Source organism: Homo sapiens, chromosome 2 (assembly GCF_000001405.40).
Source record: "Homo sapiens chromosome 2, GRCh38.p14 Primary Assembly".
Classification (NCBI taxonomy): Eukaryota; Metazoa; Chordata; class Mammalia; order Primates; family Hominidae; genus Homo; species Homo sapiens.
This window is the reverse complement of record NC_000002.12, coordinates 28,736,215-28,753,217: the sequence shown is the minus strand read 5'-3', so window position 1 is coordinate 28,753,217 and position 17,003 is coordinate 28,736,215. Positions and strand designations below refer to the sequence as shown.

The 17,003-nt window shown below is 43.2% G+C and overlaps 1 protein-coding gene and 1 long non-coding RNA gene across 18 annotated transcripts in view, besides 6 other annotated features; one reads left to right on the top strand and one right to left on the bottom strand.

The window, feature by feature from the left end:
• The window catches only part of PPP1CB (protein phosphatase 1 catalytic subunit beta), a 51,337-nt gene extending 49,723 nt beyond the window's left edge, over positions 1-1,614 (bottom strand). Inside the window, exons 1-2 of one of the 2 annotated variants that reach the window (NM_206876.2) lie at positions 1,398-1,614; positions 1,042-1,180 (exon numbers count right to left, since the gene is read on the bottom strand). In NM_206876.2, the coding sequence (NP_996759.1) occupies positions 1,042-1,093 (52 nt within the window). In that variant the 5' untranslated portion in view covers positions 1,094-1,180; positions 1,398-1,614. The other variant, NM_002709.3, reaches the window with a different exon arrangement.
• Positions 736-955: a silencer, noted in NCBI's record as "silent region_11312". NCBI's record gives its function as "represses an Ori minimal core promoter by ATAC-STARR-seq in GM12878 lymphoblastoid cells {active_cell/tissue: GM12878}" and the evidence as "EXISTENCE:reporter gene assay evidence [ECO:0000049][PMID:35858748]".
• Positions 736-1,462: a biological region, named in NCBI's record as "NANOG-H3K27ac-H3K4me1 hESC enhancer GRCh37_chr2:28974622-28975266".
• Positions 818-1,462: an enhancer, noted in NCBI's record as "NANOG-H3K27ac-H3K4me1 hESC enhancer chr2:28974622-28975266 (GRCh37/hg19 assembly coordinates)". NCBI's record gives its function as "activates a minimal SCP1, AML or CMV promoter by ChIP-STARR-seq in primed H9 embryonic stem cells {active_cell/tissue: H9 hESC(primed)}" and the evidence as "EXISTENCE:reporter gene assay evidence [ECO:0000049][PMID:30033119]".
• Positions 1,446-1,635: a silencer, noted in NCBI's record as "silent region_11311". NCBI's record gives its function as "represses an Ori minimal core promoter by ATAC-STARR-seq in GM12878 lymphoblastoid cells {active_cell/tissue: GM12878}" and the evidence as "EXISTENCE:reporter gene assay evidence [ECO:0000049][PMID:35858748]".
• PPP1CB-DT (PPP1CB divergent transcript) overlaps positions 1,462-17,003 on the top strand; it is a 29,489-nt gene continuing 13,947 nt past the window's right edge. For 6 of the 16 annotated variants that reach the window (XR_939896.3, XR_939886.3, XR_939893.3 and 3 more), the window contains exons 1-2: positions 1,719-4,398; positions 5,236-5,285. This is a non-coding gene — a long non-coding RNA (PPP1CB divergent transcript). Of the gene's footprint in view, positions 1,576-1,718; positions 4,399-5,235; positions 5,286-8,239; positions 8,346-8,831; positions 9,236-17,003 lie in introns of those variants that run through there. The other 10 variants (XR_007086258.1, XR_001739362.2, XR_007086260.1 and 7 more) reach the window with 8 other exon arrangements.
• Positions 1,766-1,975: an enhancer, noted in NCBI's record as "active region_15525". NCBI's record gives its function as "activates an Ori minimal core promoter by ATAC-STARR-seq in GM12878 lymphoblastoid cells {active_cell/tissue: GM12878}" and the evidence as "EXISTENCE:reporter gene assay evidence [ECO:0000049][PMID:35858748]".
• Positions 4,887-4,966: an enhancer, noted in NCBI's record as "active region_15524". NCBI's record gives its function as "activates an Ori minimal core promoter by ATAC-STARR-seq in GM12878 lymphoblastoid cells {active_cell/tissue: GM12878}" and the evidence as "EXISTENCE:reporter gene assay evidence [ECO:0000049][PMID:35858748]".

The window sequence follows — 17,003 nt, the reverse complement described above, 5'->3', positions numbered from 1 at the left end:
AGAGGCCTCTAAATTGTTTAAAAAGGATTAAAGGCTTTTCTACACACTCACAAAACAATTATTGATGACGAAAACTTTAGGGTAGAGGGACTGTTTGGCAGAAGACTGCATTTAACTTTGAATAATATCCTGCAATGAATCAATACATTTAACTCCCGGCTAGTCCACCTCTTCGTTTTCCCCCCTTGCCTTCCCACCAACATAAAACTATTCAATAAGAACACTTGAGCCCGGAAAGTTCAAATGCTGCGTAGACCTACAAATACCTTTCGAATACAAGACAGGCTTTAAAAATAGATTTTCACTAAGTTTGTGCAGAAATTAAGCTCTGCTCAAATCAAATGCAAAAGCCAATCCCTTCAGCAAACCCATCTACATACATCACATTTCTTAGGTGCATCTTCAACCTGATCAAATATCTTGTCTTACAATTTTTTTAGGCCAAGTAACAAACGGTAGATTAATTCCCGCTAATTTTATCCTCTCTTTAAGAAGAATCCATTCTATATAGCATTGTGTAAAAATGCAGAGCAGACGAAGCAGTCCTGTTAAGGACAGGTTTATATATATATACGTAAAATTCACTCCCGGAACGACAATCGGAGGCAGCCAAGGGCAATGCACAAAGAGAACAGAGAAGAACAGTGATTCCACGGACGCACAAAGCCCAGTGGCAGGCATCCTCTCCCCATCCTCGGGTCACCGGAGGCGAGCACCACGGCGCGCGGAGCCCGGCGGCCTTTCCGAAAGGCTGTCTCCCGCAGACCCGCTCCGCACAGCCTTCGGCCGGCGGGCCTGGCCCCCGAGGGTCCGCGGGAACGGCCCCCTCTCCCCCGATCTCCCCTGACCGCGCTCCCAGAGGCCGCTCCCCCGCGCCCAGAGCCTCCTCGCCCCCTCCTCGGTTCGTCCGCCGCGCCGCGCTCCCAGAGACTCGTCTCGGGGCGGGAAAGGGGTCCCCTCGCGTTCCGGCGGCAGACGGGGACGCAGGGGTCGGCGGCGGTGCCCGACCTCCCTCTGTCCCGCGGCCAGGCGCGCACTCACCCTCCAGCAGCCGGGTGATGAGGCTGTCCACGTTCAGCTCCCCGTCCGCCATCTTGTCGGCACAGACTCTCCTTCCCAGCAGCGGGAACAAGGGCTTCTCGGCGGCGGAGGCTGCGGCGACGGCTCGGCGTTCTCTCACCTACAAGTCACGCGGCGTTTCGACCCCGGCTCCAACTCCCCCTTTTCCCGGGCCCTCCCCCCACCCCCTCCCCGCCGGGTAGCGAGAGCGCGCGCACACTCGGAGGCACCCACGGAAAATAAATAAATAAACAAGAGAGGCCCCCTCGAACAGGGCCGCGTCAGACCCAGGCCGCCACCTCCTCCTCCTCGGCACCGCCCAGCTCCGCAAAGCTCACCAGCGCCGCCGACGGCCCCACCCGCAGCGCCACTCACTCCGCACGTCCCTTGCGCGCCGCCGCGTCACGCAGCTCTCCGCGCAGGCGCGCGGTGCGCTCCCCGCCGAGGCTCCCCTCGACGCCTGGGCCGCCGCGCAACCGCACTGGAGCGGCTTCTCCCGCTGCCGTCTTCGCGCAGGTGCGTCGCCCTCTCTCCACGTCCACGGCGCCGAGTCTCGCCACGGTGGCGCAGGCGCCAGGGAGGTTCCCCGGCTTTGCCGCGCGGAGGAAGTCCCGGTTACGCAGAGCGCGCTGGGGCAGGGCTGACCTTCCCCTTTCTCTACTTCACTGGCCTCCTCCAGACGTGGTGGTTGCGCCCTTTCGGCCTCGCTTTCCGTTTTTTGGCTTCATCCCCTAGATCTGCAAACAGTTCCTCGTGTTTCTTCCGTTAGCCGGGAAACGCGAACTGCAGCGTTTGGGACCCGGGTTTGCGCGTGTGGAAAGCAAAAGGGGTTACTCTGCTGGAGTTCGACATTGCAAATAAAGGTCTTTATCCCCGGCGGTTCTACAAAATTAGTTCTGCAGGGATTCTGGTTGAAAGAAGCGTTAAAGTGGGCCTTGTAGGAGTCAGCAATAATCCAATTTTACATGGGTGCAGGTGGCTGCCTGTGTCTAGCGCTTTCACACATCTCATATCTTCATCCACGCCGTGGGTATTTTTTTTCCACGGTGTGTTTCTGTTGCTGCCTCCAGTATATTGCTTAATCATCCTACCTGGTAATTATTTATGCATTTTTCTCCTACTCTCGACTCAGCTCCTAGGGAATAAAAACACATTAACTTATCTTTGTGCCCACAGCACCCACCAAGTATTTCCATCACGTAATACTGCCTCTAGAAAGGCAGGAGGAGAAGCAGTCACGCTAAGGATCTAGGCAAGCCAGATCTTTTGTCCGGTTTTAGGAGGTGGCCAGCCCTTACTTATTCCACAAGTGTTTTTCCAGAAACTCAGACTTGATATTGCCTCAAGTCCAAGGCAGTGTGCTTCCCCCACTCACATATCACTAATAGTAGCTAACATTTGTTCAGATCCCTGTATGTACTCTGCCACTGTTTTAAATGTTACACCCGGGTTACCTCATTTAATCCTTACAACTGCCCTGTGAGGTAGGTACTATTATTATCTCTACTTTGTAGATGGGATTCACCGAGGCACAGACGGTTAAAAAACCTAGCCCAAATAACACAAATAAACAGCAGAGCATGCAGTGCTAGAGTCTGCATTCTTAACAATTGCTATATTCTCCCTCTCCGTGAATGTGGGCTGAGATGCTGAAACAGGCATGTGCTGTGGGGGAGAAAAAGCTTTGTCCAACCAAGTGCTTTCTAATGTCCAGATGACATAGAGCTAGGATTTCCTAATGTCTTTTTTCCCCTATTTTTCTCTCCATTTCAGGGTTGAGTTTGTGCATCGATTGTGAACACAACAGGCAGCAGGCTATAATGGTGGTCCTGGCTGGAGTAGTTTTCACAGACTTCAGTAATCTGTGGAGATGAACGGGCAGTTCTCTGTAGTTTTCACAGATCACTGCCAGTTCGTTTTGAGGCCTTCAGGAGTGAAGACCTGGCTCATCATCACTCTTTGTTGTTTTGTTAAATTTATTTACACCCTACTTTATTCCAGAGGAAAGGATTTAACGTAGTTTACATAAATGTGTACATCAGGGTAAATTAAAAATAAGTACAGAGAAAAATAGGACAAAAGAAAACCGTGAGTGTGAAAGATAAGATTAAGCCAGCAGTTTTGTATGCAAAATGCATGGTGTAAGGTCCTATTGGTTTGCTGGAGGTAGGCCACACATATGACTCTCAGTTTTCTAGCAACCAAGAAAAAGATCAGTTGCAATCGGAGTAGGTGTTTTGGCTAAGCTGGAACTAGGACTTGAATATAGCAGCTTGTAGAGTTATACCACTTGCCCAAATCTCTTCCATGAGCCTCTTTAAGTGTAACAGAATGCCTGGGAGCACGTAAATGCTCCTACTTAGATGCCTACTTAGCCTCTAATTTTCATGGGGCCCATGAATCCCATGAAAAAGAACTTTGAACCCTGTCCACAATTAGAGTTCAGGTATACGCAGACATGTTTAAAGACAAGGGACACCCAAAGGAAAGATTGCACAGAGAGAAAGTGAGCATCCGAGAGAAAATCACCACAAGTGAGGCAGAGGGAGGCCGGTCTCAGCAGAGTTTTGGAGGTCGTGAGAAGAAGAGGTAGGAGATAGGAGAGTGGTTCCGAGTACTTGCCTGCTGATGTTACCTTCTCCACCCCCACCAGGTTTTCCAGTGCCTGGAGTCTTGGGCAGGAATGGGCCACTGTAAGAAAGAGCTTTATCACTAGGGCCTCAGCCAACTTTTCTGTGGGATATCCCTCCAAAATAATTAAGAGTTCAGAATGCTTCAGATTTTGAAGTGAAACTGGTACATATATTAAGTGTTACTTAATAACCCGATAGTTTCTAGGGCAGCTCACCATAATCCCAAGTATTAGCCACCACCCTCACCCCCTTCAGAGTAAAATGTGTTTCCTGAAGGAAGTTGGGAAAATGAAGAAAAAAAATACAAAAATCACCTATAATCTTACCAGTCATAGATGGCAGTTTTCCTGTCTTATTTCTGAATAATGGTTGTTAAACATTTGCCAGCACACCATAAGGCTTAGGGAGGCATCTGGGTCATGCATGTTAATATCCTTGGGTAATTCCAGAAATCTCTATGAAGGGAAACTCCTGTTATTTATCTAGACTTCCTGATTGCAAGGGGTTTGGGCATCATGATTTAGGGGTCTTAATAAAATTATTATTTTATTTTTACTAATAGATAATGTCTGTGCCTATCAGATAAAGGCAAACCAGTGCTCAGAGGAACCCAACCATCTCTGAATTGAGACCAGAGAGCTGTCTCTATGGATAGTCCTTAGAGAAGGCATTTCGGAACACAGTAAACAGCAGCCTGGTGACTCCGGTTAGTAAACGCAGCAAAGACTTTCATAGGGATGTTTTTCTTATATGCCTGTCAGTATTAGCCAGTAGCCAATCTGGTGTGAAAGTGAGTAAGTTTAGGTAGCAAAATGTGGAGGGGGTGATATATAGTTTTTTGCTGCTCTGGCTTAATCCAAGATGACTTTTAAATGAATGAATCAACATTCATTGGGCTGTCCTTCCATAAATATGATTCTTCTCAATCAAGTGTTTAATAAGTCTTAAGTAGTGGTAAGTTGAAATTTTACTAGTTGTATCTGGAGGTCAGCCATTCTTTATATCGCATGCATTAAGCTTTTATAGTCAGCTCAATTCAAGAAAATTGGAAAACCAGACAAGGACATATATGCATCATTAGGAGGCCACCTCTCTCAATACAGAGCCAGGCCTAGGTGGTACAGCCAGGCAGGGCCAAGATTTGTTCTTAAGATTTAGTTTTGGTTTCATTTCATTATACATATGAGAATAGCCAAAATTATAGCTAAGCCATAAGGCATGTCCTCAGCCAGTTTAGTCCCCCAGAATTATAAGGCAAATATAAATAAATGCCTCCTTCCCTGCCCTTGGTCAGTAACCTCCCCGGTGGCCCCAACCAACTCTCTCTTCTCTCTCTCTCAGTTTGTCTTAAGCTAACTCCATAGTACATCCGTATCTTTCAAGATAAAGTGATTGAAAAATAAATGTCTAGTAATTGAAGGAGTTAACTGGCTATTTAGAACTGTTAACTATAAGGCAATTAAAGCTAGGTGAACAGCTACCACAAGTAATGACTATTTAATTGTTGAAGAGTTTATCTGTGGCCTTTTTTTCTTGTAATTAGATTACAGGGCCAGTTGCCTTTGTTACAATAAAAGCAAGTCATCTACACAGGTAAGAATGTTTCTCTTTTATTGCTCCCCCCTCCCCCCATCCTGCTCACTGAAATGGATACCAGGAAATAACTGTTTGATGAGGGAAAGTATACAATATGTGAATATTTGTTTCAAATGAAACAGTGTACTGTAAATGTTTTGTTTCTTGTTGCTCTGTTTCTCCTGTAGTATATCCAAATCACATATAATTCACCTTTTCAGTTGGAGGTTTACCGCTAAATGGCTTAATTTTTTTTCTTTTTTTGAGACAGAGCCTCACTCAGGCTGGAATACAGTGGCTCATTCACAGCTAACTGCAGCTTTGACATCTCAGGCTCAAGCAATCCTTCTGCCTCAGCCTCCGTAGTAGCTGAGACCATAGGCATGTGCCACCATGCCCGGCTATTTTTTTTTATTTTTAGTAGAGACAGGGTCTCGCTGTGTCAGGCTGGTCTCGAACTCCTGGGCTCAAGCAATCCTCCCACCTCGGCCTCCCAAAGTGCTGGGATTACAGGCATGAGCCACCGCACCTGGCCCTAACTGGTTTTTATGTCTCTGTTTCAATTGGGTTTTGGTAGATAAGACAAGGAAAGCATTACTTTTTTTATGTAGTTATAAAATGAGTAGCTTCTCATAATATATAAGACCACATTAAAATTAATAGCATATGTCTGTTAAAACTAAAGCCAAACTATTTGTGAGCTGTGAAATATATTCATCAGAGTTACATCCAACACCAATAGGTCTTTTATATAGGAAACACTGGTTAAATAGAATATTTATTAATTATTATTTAAATCTTGATTTAAACCAAATCCAGTCTATCATAATAAGTTCTTAATTGAAATGCTCTATGGTACTTGTTATTTAAGAAAACCTTACAGTGAATAGACCTCTGAAGCAAAAAGAATAATGAACCAATTAAGTATTTATGAAACACTTAGTGAGTTTGAGTCTGTGTTGAAGAAGGCATGACTTCCCAACTTTCAAGTTGTTTAATGACTATGTGGGAAAATGACCACAAAATGACTTGGATAGTGGGAAAAGCATTGGCTTGGAGGTGGGAGAACAAAGCAGCTGAATAACCTTAGACAATTCAATCTTTCTGAACCTTGGATTCATTACCTACAAAATGTGCCCATTAATAAATGATTTCCAAAGCTTCTTCTAGCTCAAACAAGTCTCTGATTCTAAGACATACAAATAAAACCCAAAATGTAACATAATATTGTACATGCCGTCCCCAGCTCAGGAACTGGACCAACTCCAAAGGGTCAATTGTTCGGAACATGGAATATATTTTCCCACAGAGACTGTGGTACAAATGGTGGTTAAACTCTCAGATCAGTCTGCAAAATCAATTTAGTCCTTAATGTAACTATAGAAGAGTGTCCATGGCAATATAGACTCTAGCCACCAATTATAACAGAGTTTATGGGGAATATTTATTGAGGATTCCTATTTGGCATGGCAGAAAACATCTCTCAGTGTTTTCTACTACCCTGAGCAATAGACGTGAAGACAAGTCTAGTTCCAATTTACAGACAGACCTGGACCCTATATGGGAGACAAAGGCTGGGCTGGCAGCATAGAGGGCAAGGGATGCTCTGATACCTTTGAATCCTTGGGGGGCGGGGGGGAGTGGGGGCAGGGCATGGTGGGCTGAGCACAGTTCATGACATCTTGGGGTTTGGTTGCCAGGAAGGAGCTGGCTCCCAAACCAAAGGATAGGGAATGTGAAGGCAGAAGGAAGAAAGGGAGTAAATATATTGTGCTGGGAACTTTTTTTAAAAAAGATACAATTACTTTTAATCTCACTTTGCGATTGAGGAAGTTGTGATCTAGAAAGGTTAAATTATGGCTGGGCTTGGTGACTCATGCGTGTAATCCCAGCACTTTGGGAAGCCGAGGCAGAAGGCTTGCGTGATCCCAGGAGTTCAAGACCAGTCTGGGCAACATAGCAAGGCTTCATCTCTACTAAAAAAATTCAAACTTGGCCAGTCCCTGTGGTATGCACCTGTAGTCCTAGCTACTCTGGAGACTGAGGCAGGAGGATCCCTTGAGCATAGGAGGTTGAGGATGTGTTGAGCTATGATCATGCCACTGTACTCCAGCCTGGGTGACAGAGCAATACCTGTCTCTAGAAAACAAAAACAAAGTTAAATTGCATTGATTTACTAGCAAAACGAGGACTTGAATCTCAATCTCTCCATCTCCTTCAGATTTTTACTCGAAAGCCTTCATACTGTGCAAGAGCCTACTCTTTTTGTCCCCTCTCCTTCCTGCACAAGAGCACCCTAGAACCCAGGGTCCCCATGCCCACCGTTATTCCTATTTTTCATTCTCTACTTTTCAGGGCAACCTGCTCAGCAATGAGCACAGCATTTTTCTGTTTTGCCCCTGTGTGTTTTAACGGTGCAGTCACCTCAAAGAATGACTTTATTGTTGCTAAAAAAAGGTTGCTCTCGCTCCTCATAGTCCAGTCCAGGTTTTAACAAACCACCCAGAGAATGTGATTGAGTGATCCCAAGCTCTAAGAACATTTAGGTACTTCTAGTAGTGACATTCCTATTAAGACAGAGCCCAGCTTGGCTGGGAGATCCAATGTCCCCATGCCCAGGTGACAGGCATTGCTCCTTTGTCAGAAAGGTTCCTGGCTGGAGGTTCATAAGTGTACCATGTGCTGGGAATTTTTACTGACATGATCACAATTAATCCCTCAGAAAATCCTGTGAAGTAAGTAGTTTCCCTTTTATAGATGTGGGAATGAATCAAGACTCAGAGGCTTTGACTTGTCTTTAGGCACCAGGTCAGTCCAATTCTAAAGCCCTGGCTGGAATACCCAGGCAGTGTGATTTAGAGATGCTGGGCTAGTTAGGTGGACTAGCTCTGGGACTCTGTTGTGAGAAAAAGTGAGTGGCGATGGGGTGGGGCAGCGGATGTAACTTGATGGCAAGGATTGTCAACTTACAGCAGGAAAATTTTGGGTGAGGAGGAGCAGAATATGGGTGGTTCTGGCAGCGAGACAGTCTTCAGGAATGAGAAGGAGAGGTCATCCCCAGCTACCTCCAGGAGAAAGGTAGGGAATGCCTTCCCTGCACATCTGAGGGGCTTCTTGGCCAGACAGACATTCACAATAAGCAACTCTCTTTTGTCCACATTCCTTTTTTAAAAATTTTTATTTTCGGTTTGGTGGTACATGTGAGGGTTTGTTACATAGATAAACACATGTCATCAGGGTTTGTTGTACATATATTACATCACCCAGGTATTAAGTTCAGTACCCACTAATTCTCTTTTCTGCTTCTCTCCCTCCTCCCACCCTCCCGCCTCAAGTAGACCTTAGTGCTTGTTTTCTTTTTTGTATTCGTAAGTTCTTATCATTTAGCTCCCACTTATAAGTAAGAACATGTGATATTTGGTTTTCTGTTTCTGAATTAGTTTGCTAAGGATGGTAGCCTCCAGCTCCATCCATGCATCCATGTTCCCTCAAAAGACATGATCTTGTTTTTTTTGTTGTAGTTGTTAGTTTGTTTTTGAGACAGAGTCTCCTTCTGTTGCTTAGGCTGGAGTGTAGTGCCATGATCTCGGCCCGCTGCGATCCCCACCTCCTGGGTTCAAGTGATTCTCCTGCCTCAGCCTCCTGAGTAGCTGGGATTACAGGCATCCGCCACCACGCCCGGCTAATTTTTGTGTTTTTAGTAGAGACAAGGTTTTGCCATGTTGGCCAGGCTGGTCTCGAACTCCTGATTTAAGATGATCCACTTGCCTTGGCCTCCCAAAGTGTTGGGATTACAGGCGTGAACCACCACACCTGGCTTGATCTTCTTCTTTTATGGCTGCATAATATTCCATGGGGTATATGTACCACATTTTCTTTATCCAGTCTGTCATTGATGGGCATTTAGGTTGATTCCATGTCTTTGCTATTGTGAACAGTGCTGCAATAAACATTCACATGCAAGTGTCTTTATGGTAGAATGCTTTATATTCCTCTGGGTATACACTCAGTAATGGGATTGCTGGAGTCTGCTTTTAACTCTTTGAGGAATCACCATACTGCTTTCCACAATGGTTGAATAAATTTACACTCCCACCAACAGTGTGTAAGGGTTCCCTTTTCTGCGCAACCGTACCAGCATCTGTTATTTTTTGACTTTTTGGTAATAGCCGTTCTGACGGGTATGAGGTGGTATCTCATTGTGGTTTTGATTTGCATTTCCCCAATGATCAGTGATATTGAGCTTTTTCTCTTATGCTTCTTGGCCACATGTATGTCTTCTTTTGAGAAGTGTCTAGATGTTCATGTCCTTTGCACACTTTTTAATGGGGTTGTTTTTCTCTTATAAATTTAAGATCCTTATAGATGCTGGATATTAGACCTTTATCAGATGCATAGTTTGCAAATATTTTCTCCCATTCTGCAGGTTGTCTGTTTACTCTGTTGATAGTTTCTTTTGCTGTGCAGAAGCTCTTAAGTTTAATTAGCTCTCATTTGTCGACTTTTGCTTTTGTCGCGATTGCTTTTGGTGTCTTTGTCATGAAATATTCGCCCATTCCTATGTCCAGGATAATATTGCCTAGATTCTCTTCCAGGGTTTTTATAGTTTGGGGTTTTGCATATAAGTCTTGAATCTATCTTGAGTTGATTTTTGCATATGATGTAAGGAAGAGGTCCAGCTTCAGTCTTCTGCATATGGCTAGCCAGTTATCCCAGCACCATTTATTGAGTAGGAGGTCTTTTCCCCATTGCTTGTTTTTTTGTCAGCTTTGTCAAAGATCAGATGGTTGTAGATGCGTGGCCTTATTTCTGGGCTCTCTATTATTTTATTTATTTATTTATTTATTTTTATTTATTTTTATTTTTTTGAGACAGAGTCTCCCTCTGTCACCCAGGCCGGAGTGCAGTGGTGCGATCTCTGCTCACTGCAACCTCCGCCTCCTGGGTTCAAGCGATTCTCCTGCCTCAGCCTCCTGAGTAGCTGAGATTACAGGCACGTGCCACCACGCCAGGCTAATGTTTCTTTGTATTTTTAGTAGAGATGGGGTTTCACCATGTTGGTCAGGCTGAAACTCGAAACTCAGTCTCAAACTCCTGACCTCATGATCCATCCGCCTTGGCCTCCCAAAGCACTGGATTACAGGCATGAGCCACTGCACCTGGCCTCTATTCTGTTCCATTGGTCTATGTGCCTGTTTTTGTACCAGTACCATGCTCTTTTGGTCACTGTAGCCTTGTAGTATAGTTTGAAACCAAATCCAGCAGCACATCAAAAAGCTAATCCACCATGATCAAGTAGGCTTCATCTCCAGGAAACAAGTTTGGTTCAACATATAAAAATCAATAAATGTGATTCATCACATAAACAAAACTAAAGACAAAACCACATGATTCTTTCAATAGATGTAGAAAAGGCTTTTGATAAAATTTAACCTCAGTTCATGTTAAAAACTCTTGATAAACTAGGTATTGAAGGAACATCATACCTCAAAATAATAAGAGCCATCTATGACAAACCCACAGCCAACATTATACTGAATAGACAAAAGCTGGAAGCATTCCCCCTGAAAGCCGGCACAAGACAAAGATGGCCTCTCTCACCACTTCTATTCAACATAGTATTGGAAGTCCTAGCCAGAGCAATCAGGCGAGAGAAAGAAATAAAGGGTATCCAAATAGGAAGAGAGGAAGTCAAACTATCTCTGAACACAACATGATTCTATATCTACAAAGCCCCATAGTCTCAGCCCAAAAGCTCCTTCAGCTGATAAACAACTTCAGCAAAGTTGCAGGATACAAAATCAACGTACAAAAATTACTAGCATTCCTATACACCAACGGCAATCAAACTGAAAGCCAAATCAGAAAGGTAATCCCGTTCACAATTGCCACACAAAAAATAAAATACCTAAGAATGCAGCTAACCAGGGAGGTGAAAGATCTCTACAATGAGAATTACAAAACACTGCTCAAAGAAATCAGAGAAGACACAAACAAGTGGAAAAACATCCCATGCTCATGGATAGGAAGAACCAATATCATTGAAATGGCTATACTGCCCAAAGCAATGTACAGATTCAATGCTATTTCTATCAAACTACCAACAATATTCTTCACAGGACTAGAAAAAATTATTTTAAAATTTATATGGAACCTATAAAGAATAGCTAAAGCAATCCTAAGCAAAAAACAAAGCTGGAGAAATTTTGTCCACATTTCTATGCCAGACCTGTATGACCAGTGCTAAGAGGTGTGGTTCAGATCCTAAGCTTTTTAGAATCCCAAAGAGGGGGAGGCAATGAGGTCAGGCAAAGTCTTAATAGCAGTGATGCCACTAAAGGATTTGAACTGGGTTGTGAAATATTATGGGATTTGGATTGGTGGCTTTCTTGATACATAACACTTGTATATTTATGGGGTATGTGTGATATTTTGATGCGTGAATACAATGTGTGATGATCGAGCCAGGGTGTTTAGAATATATATCACCTGAAACCTTTCATTTCTTTGTGTTGGGAACATTTCAAATCTTCTCCTCTAGCTATTTTGAAGTGTATAGTATATTGTTGTTAACTATAGTCATTTACTATGCTATTGAACACTACAATTTATTCCTTCTAACTGTGCATTTGTACCCATTAACCAACTTCTCTTCAACACCATCCCCCCAACCCTTTCTAGCCTCTAGCTACCATAATTCTACTCTCTGCCTCCCTGAGATCAACTTTTTTAGCTCCCACGTATGAGTGAGAACATTCAATATTTGTCTTTTCTGTCTTCTGACTTAGTTCACTTAACATAATGACCTATAGTTTCATCCATGTTTCTGCAAATGACCATATTTCATTCTTTTTTATGGCTGAATAGTATTCCTTTGCAGAATATATACCACATTTTCTTTTTCCATTCATCCATTGATGGACTAGATAAGTGATTTTTGATTGAAGTAGCTGCATGTTTGTTGTCAGAATCACCTAGGGAACTTTTTCAAAATATCAGTGTTTAATTTCTCCTCCTTCCCCAAGAACATCATAACTATTTCTCAGCATTGGGAGTGGAGGAGGATATATTTTGTAACAATATTCAAGGGAATTCTGATAGGGACCCATTCATCCCTTAGGCCTTTTCACTGATAAAGATTTCAAAAAATAAAAGATGTGAAAGAGACTGATTCAGCTAGAAGAGATAGGGGAGGGCTCTTCATGTGAAGGGATTGTGAAAGAGAGGAGACTGGGGTCCCTGGAGCAGAGGGTGCATCAGAGGAAGTGGTAGGAAATAGGGTGGGGTATTAAGATGGGGAAGTCAAGAAGAAATTGGAATGCTAGGTCAGAGAGTTTAATCCAGATGTTGTTTGAAATAAGAAATTATTCATGCATTCATTTGTTCAATAAATATTTATGAGCACCTACTCTGTGCCAGGCACTGTGTCATGTGCTGGGGAGAAAGTGGAGAATGAAATAAAGCTCTTTCCCTCATAAAACTTATATTCTGATAGGAGGGGAGAAGTGACCAATCCATTCCAGTTTGCCTGGGACATTCCTGCTTTTAGCACTCAAATTCTGCCCAGGAACCCCCTGGGTAAACCAGAATCATTGGTTCTCTAGGAGAGTCTCTAGGAGAGAGTGTGTGTGTGTGTGTGTGTGTGTGTGTGTGTGTGTGTGTGTGTGTAGTGCTGAAGGCTAGGAAGAAAAATGAAGCAGGGTAAGAGGTTGGGATGGAGAAGAATGCTGCTTTAAACAGGGTTGTCATGGAAGATCTCTCTGAGGAAGTGACACATGAGCAGCAATCTGGCTGGGCACAGTGGCTCACACCTGTAATCCCAGCACTTTGGGAGGCAAGGCAGGTGGATCACTTGAGGTCAGGAGTTCAAGACCAGCCTGGCCAACATGGTGAAACCCTGTCTCTACTAAAAATACAAAAATTGGTGGGGTAAGGTGGTGGGCACCTTTAGTCCCAGCTACTCGGTAGGCGGAGGCAGGAGAATCGCTGGAACCTGGGAAGTGGAGGTTGCAGTGAGCCAGATCAAGCCATGGCACTCCAGCCTGGGCAACAGAGCAAGACTCCATCTGAAAATAAATAAATAAGTAAATAAATAAGCAGCAATCTGCAAAAAAATGAGAATGTGGGCCATGTAAATATCCGAGAGTGGGTTCAGGAAGGGGTGATTATTTCCAGGAAAAATAACCACCTTGTAAAGGTCCCCAGCTGGAAACATGCTTGGCATAGATGAAGAACAGCAATTAGGTAGAAAGGTTGGAGGAATAGAAGAAGAGGTCAGAAGTAGAGAAGGGCCAGATGGAGCGAGCTGTGTCAAGGACACTGGATTACATTTGGAGTGTGTTGGGAGCCACAAGAAGGTTGACAGCAGAAGGTGATGGAAATGAGTGGAAGCAGCACGACTGCTTAGGAAGCCATTGCCTTAGAAAATCCTAAAGAATCCCTTCTCAAAATGTTTCATCAGAGAAACAGCAGAATGAGCGAAGAACAGTATATTCTTCGCCTGGTATCAGACCAGGTTTGGCAGGAATGGGCTGACCCAGGCTACTCCACAGTGATGGGAATGAAGAAGAGGAAGCATCTAGAGTTGCCTTTGAGCTGGGATTGCCAGAAGTTGGTGGCCCAGGATTCACAGGGGGACAAAGGAGAATGATGAGTCCAAGATGATTCCAAGATATCTTTCCTTGTTAGTTTTTCAAGTTTGAGATTCTCCTTCAATTTTCACAATCCAAACTTCATGGAATAAATGAATATGGTCTATTCTTTCCCGCTAAAATGGAGAAGGCTCCAGACCAGGCGTGGCGGCTCATGCCTGTAATCCCAGCACTTCGGGAGGCTGAGGTGGGTAGATCACCTGAGGTCAGGAGTTCGAGACCAGCTGGGCCAACATGGTGAAACCTCATCTCTACTAAAAATACAAAAATTAGCTGGGCATGGTGGCAGGCACCTATAATCCCAGCTACTGGGGAGGCTGAGGCAGGAGAATCGTTTGAATCTAGAAGGTGGAGGTTACAGTGAGCCAAAGTCACGCCACTGCACTCCAGCCTGGGCAGCAGAGTGAGACTCCATCTCAAAAAAAAAAAAAAACAACAAAGAACAAAAACAAAACAACCCCCCCAAAACCCCCAAATTGACAAGTTGACTCTTAAATGTATATAGAACCGCAAAAGATCTAAAATAGACAAGACCATCTTGAAGAGAAAGAACAAAGTTGGTGGATTATACTATCAGATTTTAAAATTTAATATGAAATTACAGTAATTAAGACAGTGTGATATTAGTACGAGAACAGACAAATCAATAGAAGAGAGTATAGAGTTCAGAAATAGACTCACATATATATAGTGGGGAAAAGATGGTCTTTTCAATAAATGATTCTGGAGTAATTGGATAGTCTTATAAAAAAATAATGAGCTTTGGCCTTTTTTCATACCATATGTGAAAAATTAACTTGAGATGGATCATAGACCTAAATGGCAAAACAATAAAGCTTCTGAAGAATACATGGAAGAATATCTTCATGACTTTATGGCAGTCAAAGATTTCTTTTTTCTTTTTTTTTTTTGAGATGGAGTCTCTATTGCCCAGGATGGAGTGCAGTAGTGTGATCTCGGCTCACTGCAACCTCCGCCTCCCAGGTTCAAGCGATTCTCCTGCCTCAGCCTCCTGGGCAGTTGGGATTACAGGTGCCTGCCACCACACCCAGCTAATTTTTGTATTTTTAGTAGAGACGGGGTTTCACCATGTTGGCCAGGCTGGTTTTGAACTCCTGACCTCAAATGATCTGCCTGCCTCGGCCTCCCAAAGTGCTAGGATTACAGGCGTGAGCCATGACACCCAGCCAGATTTCTTAAACAAGGTACAAAAACCAAAAACAAACAAACAAAAAAACTAACCATAAAAGGAAAGATTGATAATTGGATTCATTAAAAATAAGAACTTTTTCGAAAGGGCAAGTCACAGACTGAGAGAAAGTATTTGCAATCCACCTCTCTCTTTCTCTCTCCAATGAAGAATTTAAATTCTATAAACCAATAAGGAAAAGACAGACAACCCAATTATAAAATGGGCAAAACACTTGAACAAGCATTTCACAGAAGAGGATGTCCAAATATCTAGTAAGTATGTGAAAAAGGTACTTAAGACATCATTAGTCACCAGGCAAATGCAAATGCAAATCACAATGAGATACCAACCCACACTCTCCACAATGGCTAAAATTAAAAAGACTGATGATATCAAGTGTTGATGAGGATATAGAGCAATTAGAACTTCTACACATTGCTGGTGGGACTGTAAAATGGTGCAACCACTTTGGAAAACTGGCACATCTATGAAAGCTAGATCGAAGCTTTCTCTGTGGTTTAGCACTTCCACTCCTAGGTATATACCCCCAAAAATGAATGCATATGACCATTAAAATATGTGGACAAAATGTTCATGACAGTTTTATTTTTAATAACCAAACTTTGGAAATAAGCCAAATAAGTCTCAGTGGGGAACTAATAAATTATAGTGTATTCATGTGGTAGAATTTTACACAGTAAAAACAGACAAAAAAACCATCTACTACTACATGTAACAACATGGATAAACCCCACAGACATTATGAGTGAACAAAGACAGACTTAAAAAGTATATATGGGCTGGGAACGGTGGCTTGCATCTGTAATCCTGTACTTTGGGAGGCCAAGGTGGGAGGTTTGCTTAAGCCCAGGAGTTCAAGACCAGCCTGGACAACATTGTGAGACCCCATCTATACCAAAAGTAAAATAAAAAAATTTAGCCAGGCATGTTGGCATGTACCTATGGTCTCAGCTACCCAAACCAGGGAGGTTGAAGCTGCAGTGAGCTGTGATCATGCCACTGCATTCCAGCCTGGACAATAGAGTGAGACCCTTTTTCAAAAAAAAGTACATATGATTTCATTTTTATGAAATTCAAAATAGGTAAAACTAATCAAAAGTGATATAAGTCAGAATAGGGTTTATCTCTGGGTCATAGGGATATTGGCTGGGAAGGGACGAATGAGAACTTTTTGGAGTGCTGGAATGTCCTGTTTTTCTTTTTGTCTTTTTGTTTGTTTGTTTTGTTTTAAGATATGATCTTGCTCTGTCACCCAGGCTGAAGGGAAGTGGCGTGAACATGGCTCAGTGCAACCTCCACCTCCCGGACTCAAGTGATCTTCCCATCTCAGCCTCCTAAGTAGCTGGGACCATAGGTGTGTGCCACCATGCCCGGCTAATTTTTAAATTTTTTGTAGAGATGGTGTCCCACTATGTGGAGTCTTCTTCATATTGATCAAAGTGGCAGTTAAACAAGAATATAATTACATAAAAGTGTACCAAAATGTATATTTAAGATTGGTGCACATTGCTGTATATATTATACTTTGATAAAGAGTATTACAGAAAATTTTAATTTTCTTCTTTTTGCTGTTTTCTAAATGGTCACACCTTTTTCTCGGCTATATTTCCAAAAGTCTAAACTGAAACATAAATTATAATGAGAAGAAAAACAATAAAGGTTATTATTTTTAAAACACTAGAGCTGAATCTCAGCTACCTATCTAGATCTCTTGGCCTGAGCCCTGGACCCAGCTAAAAATAGTTCAGAGCCTTGCCAGCTGGGAGCTGGGCTATGTTTAGCAGAAACTGGCACACGAGTGAAATGGGGTGGAGCCAAGTAGACACTTTGGATCCGGTAGGCATAGCTCTCCCACAGGAGACTGTTTAGGCC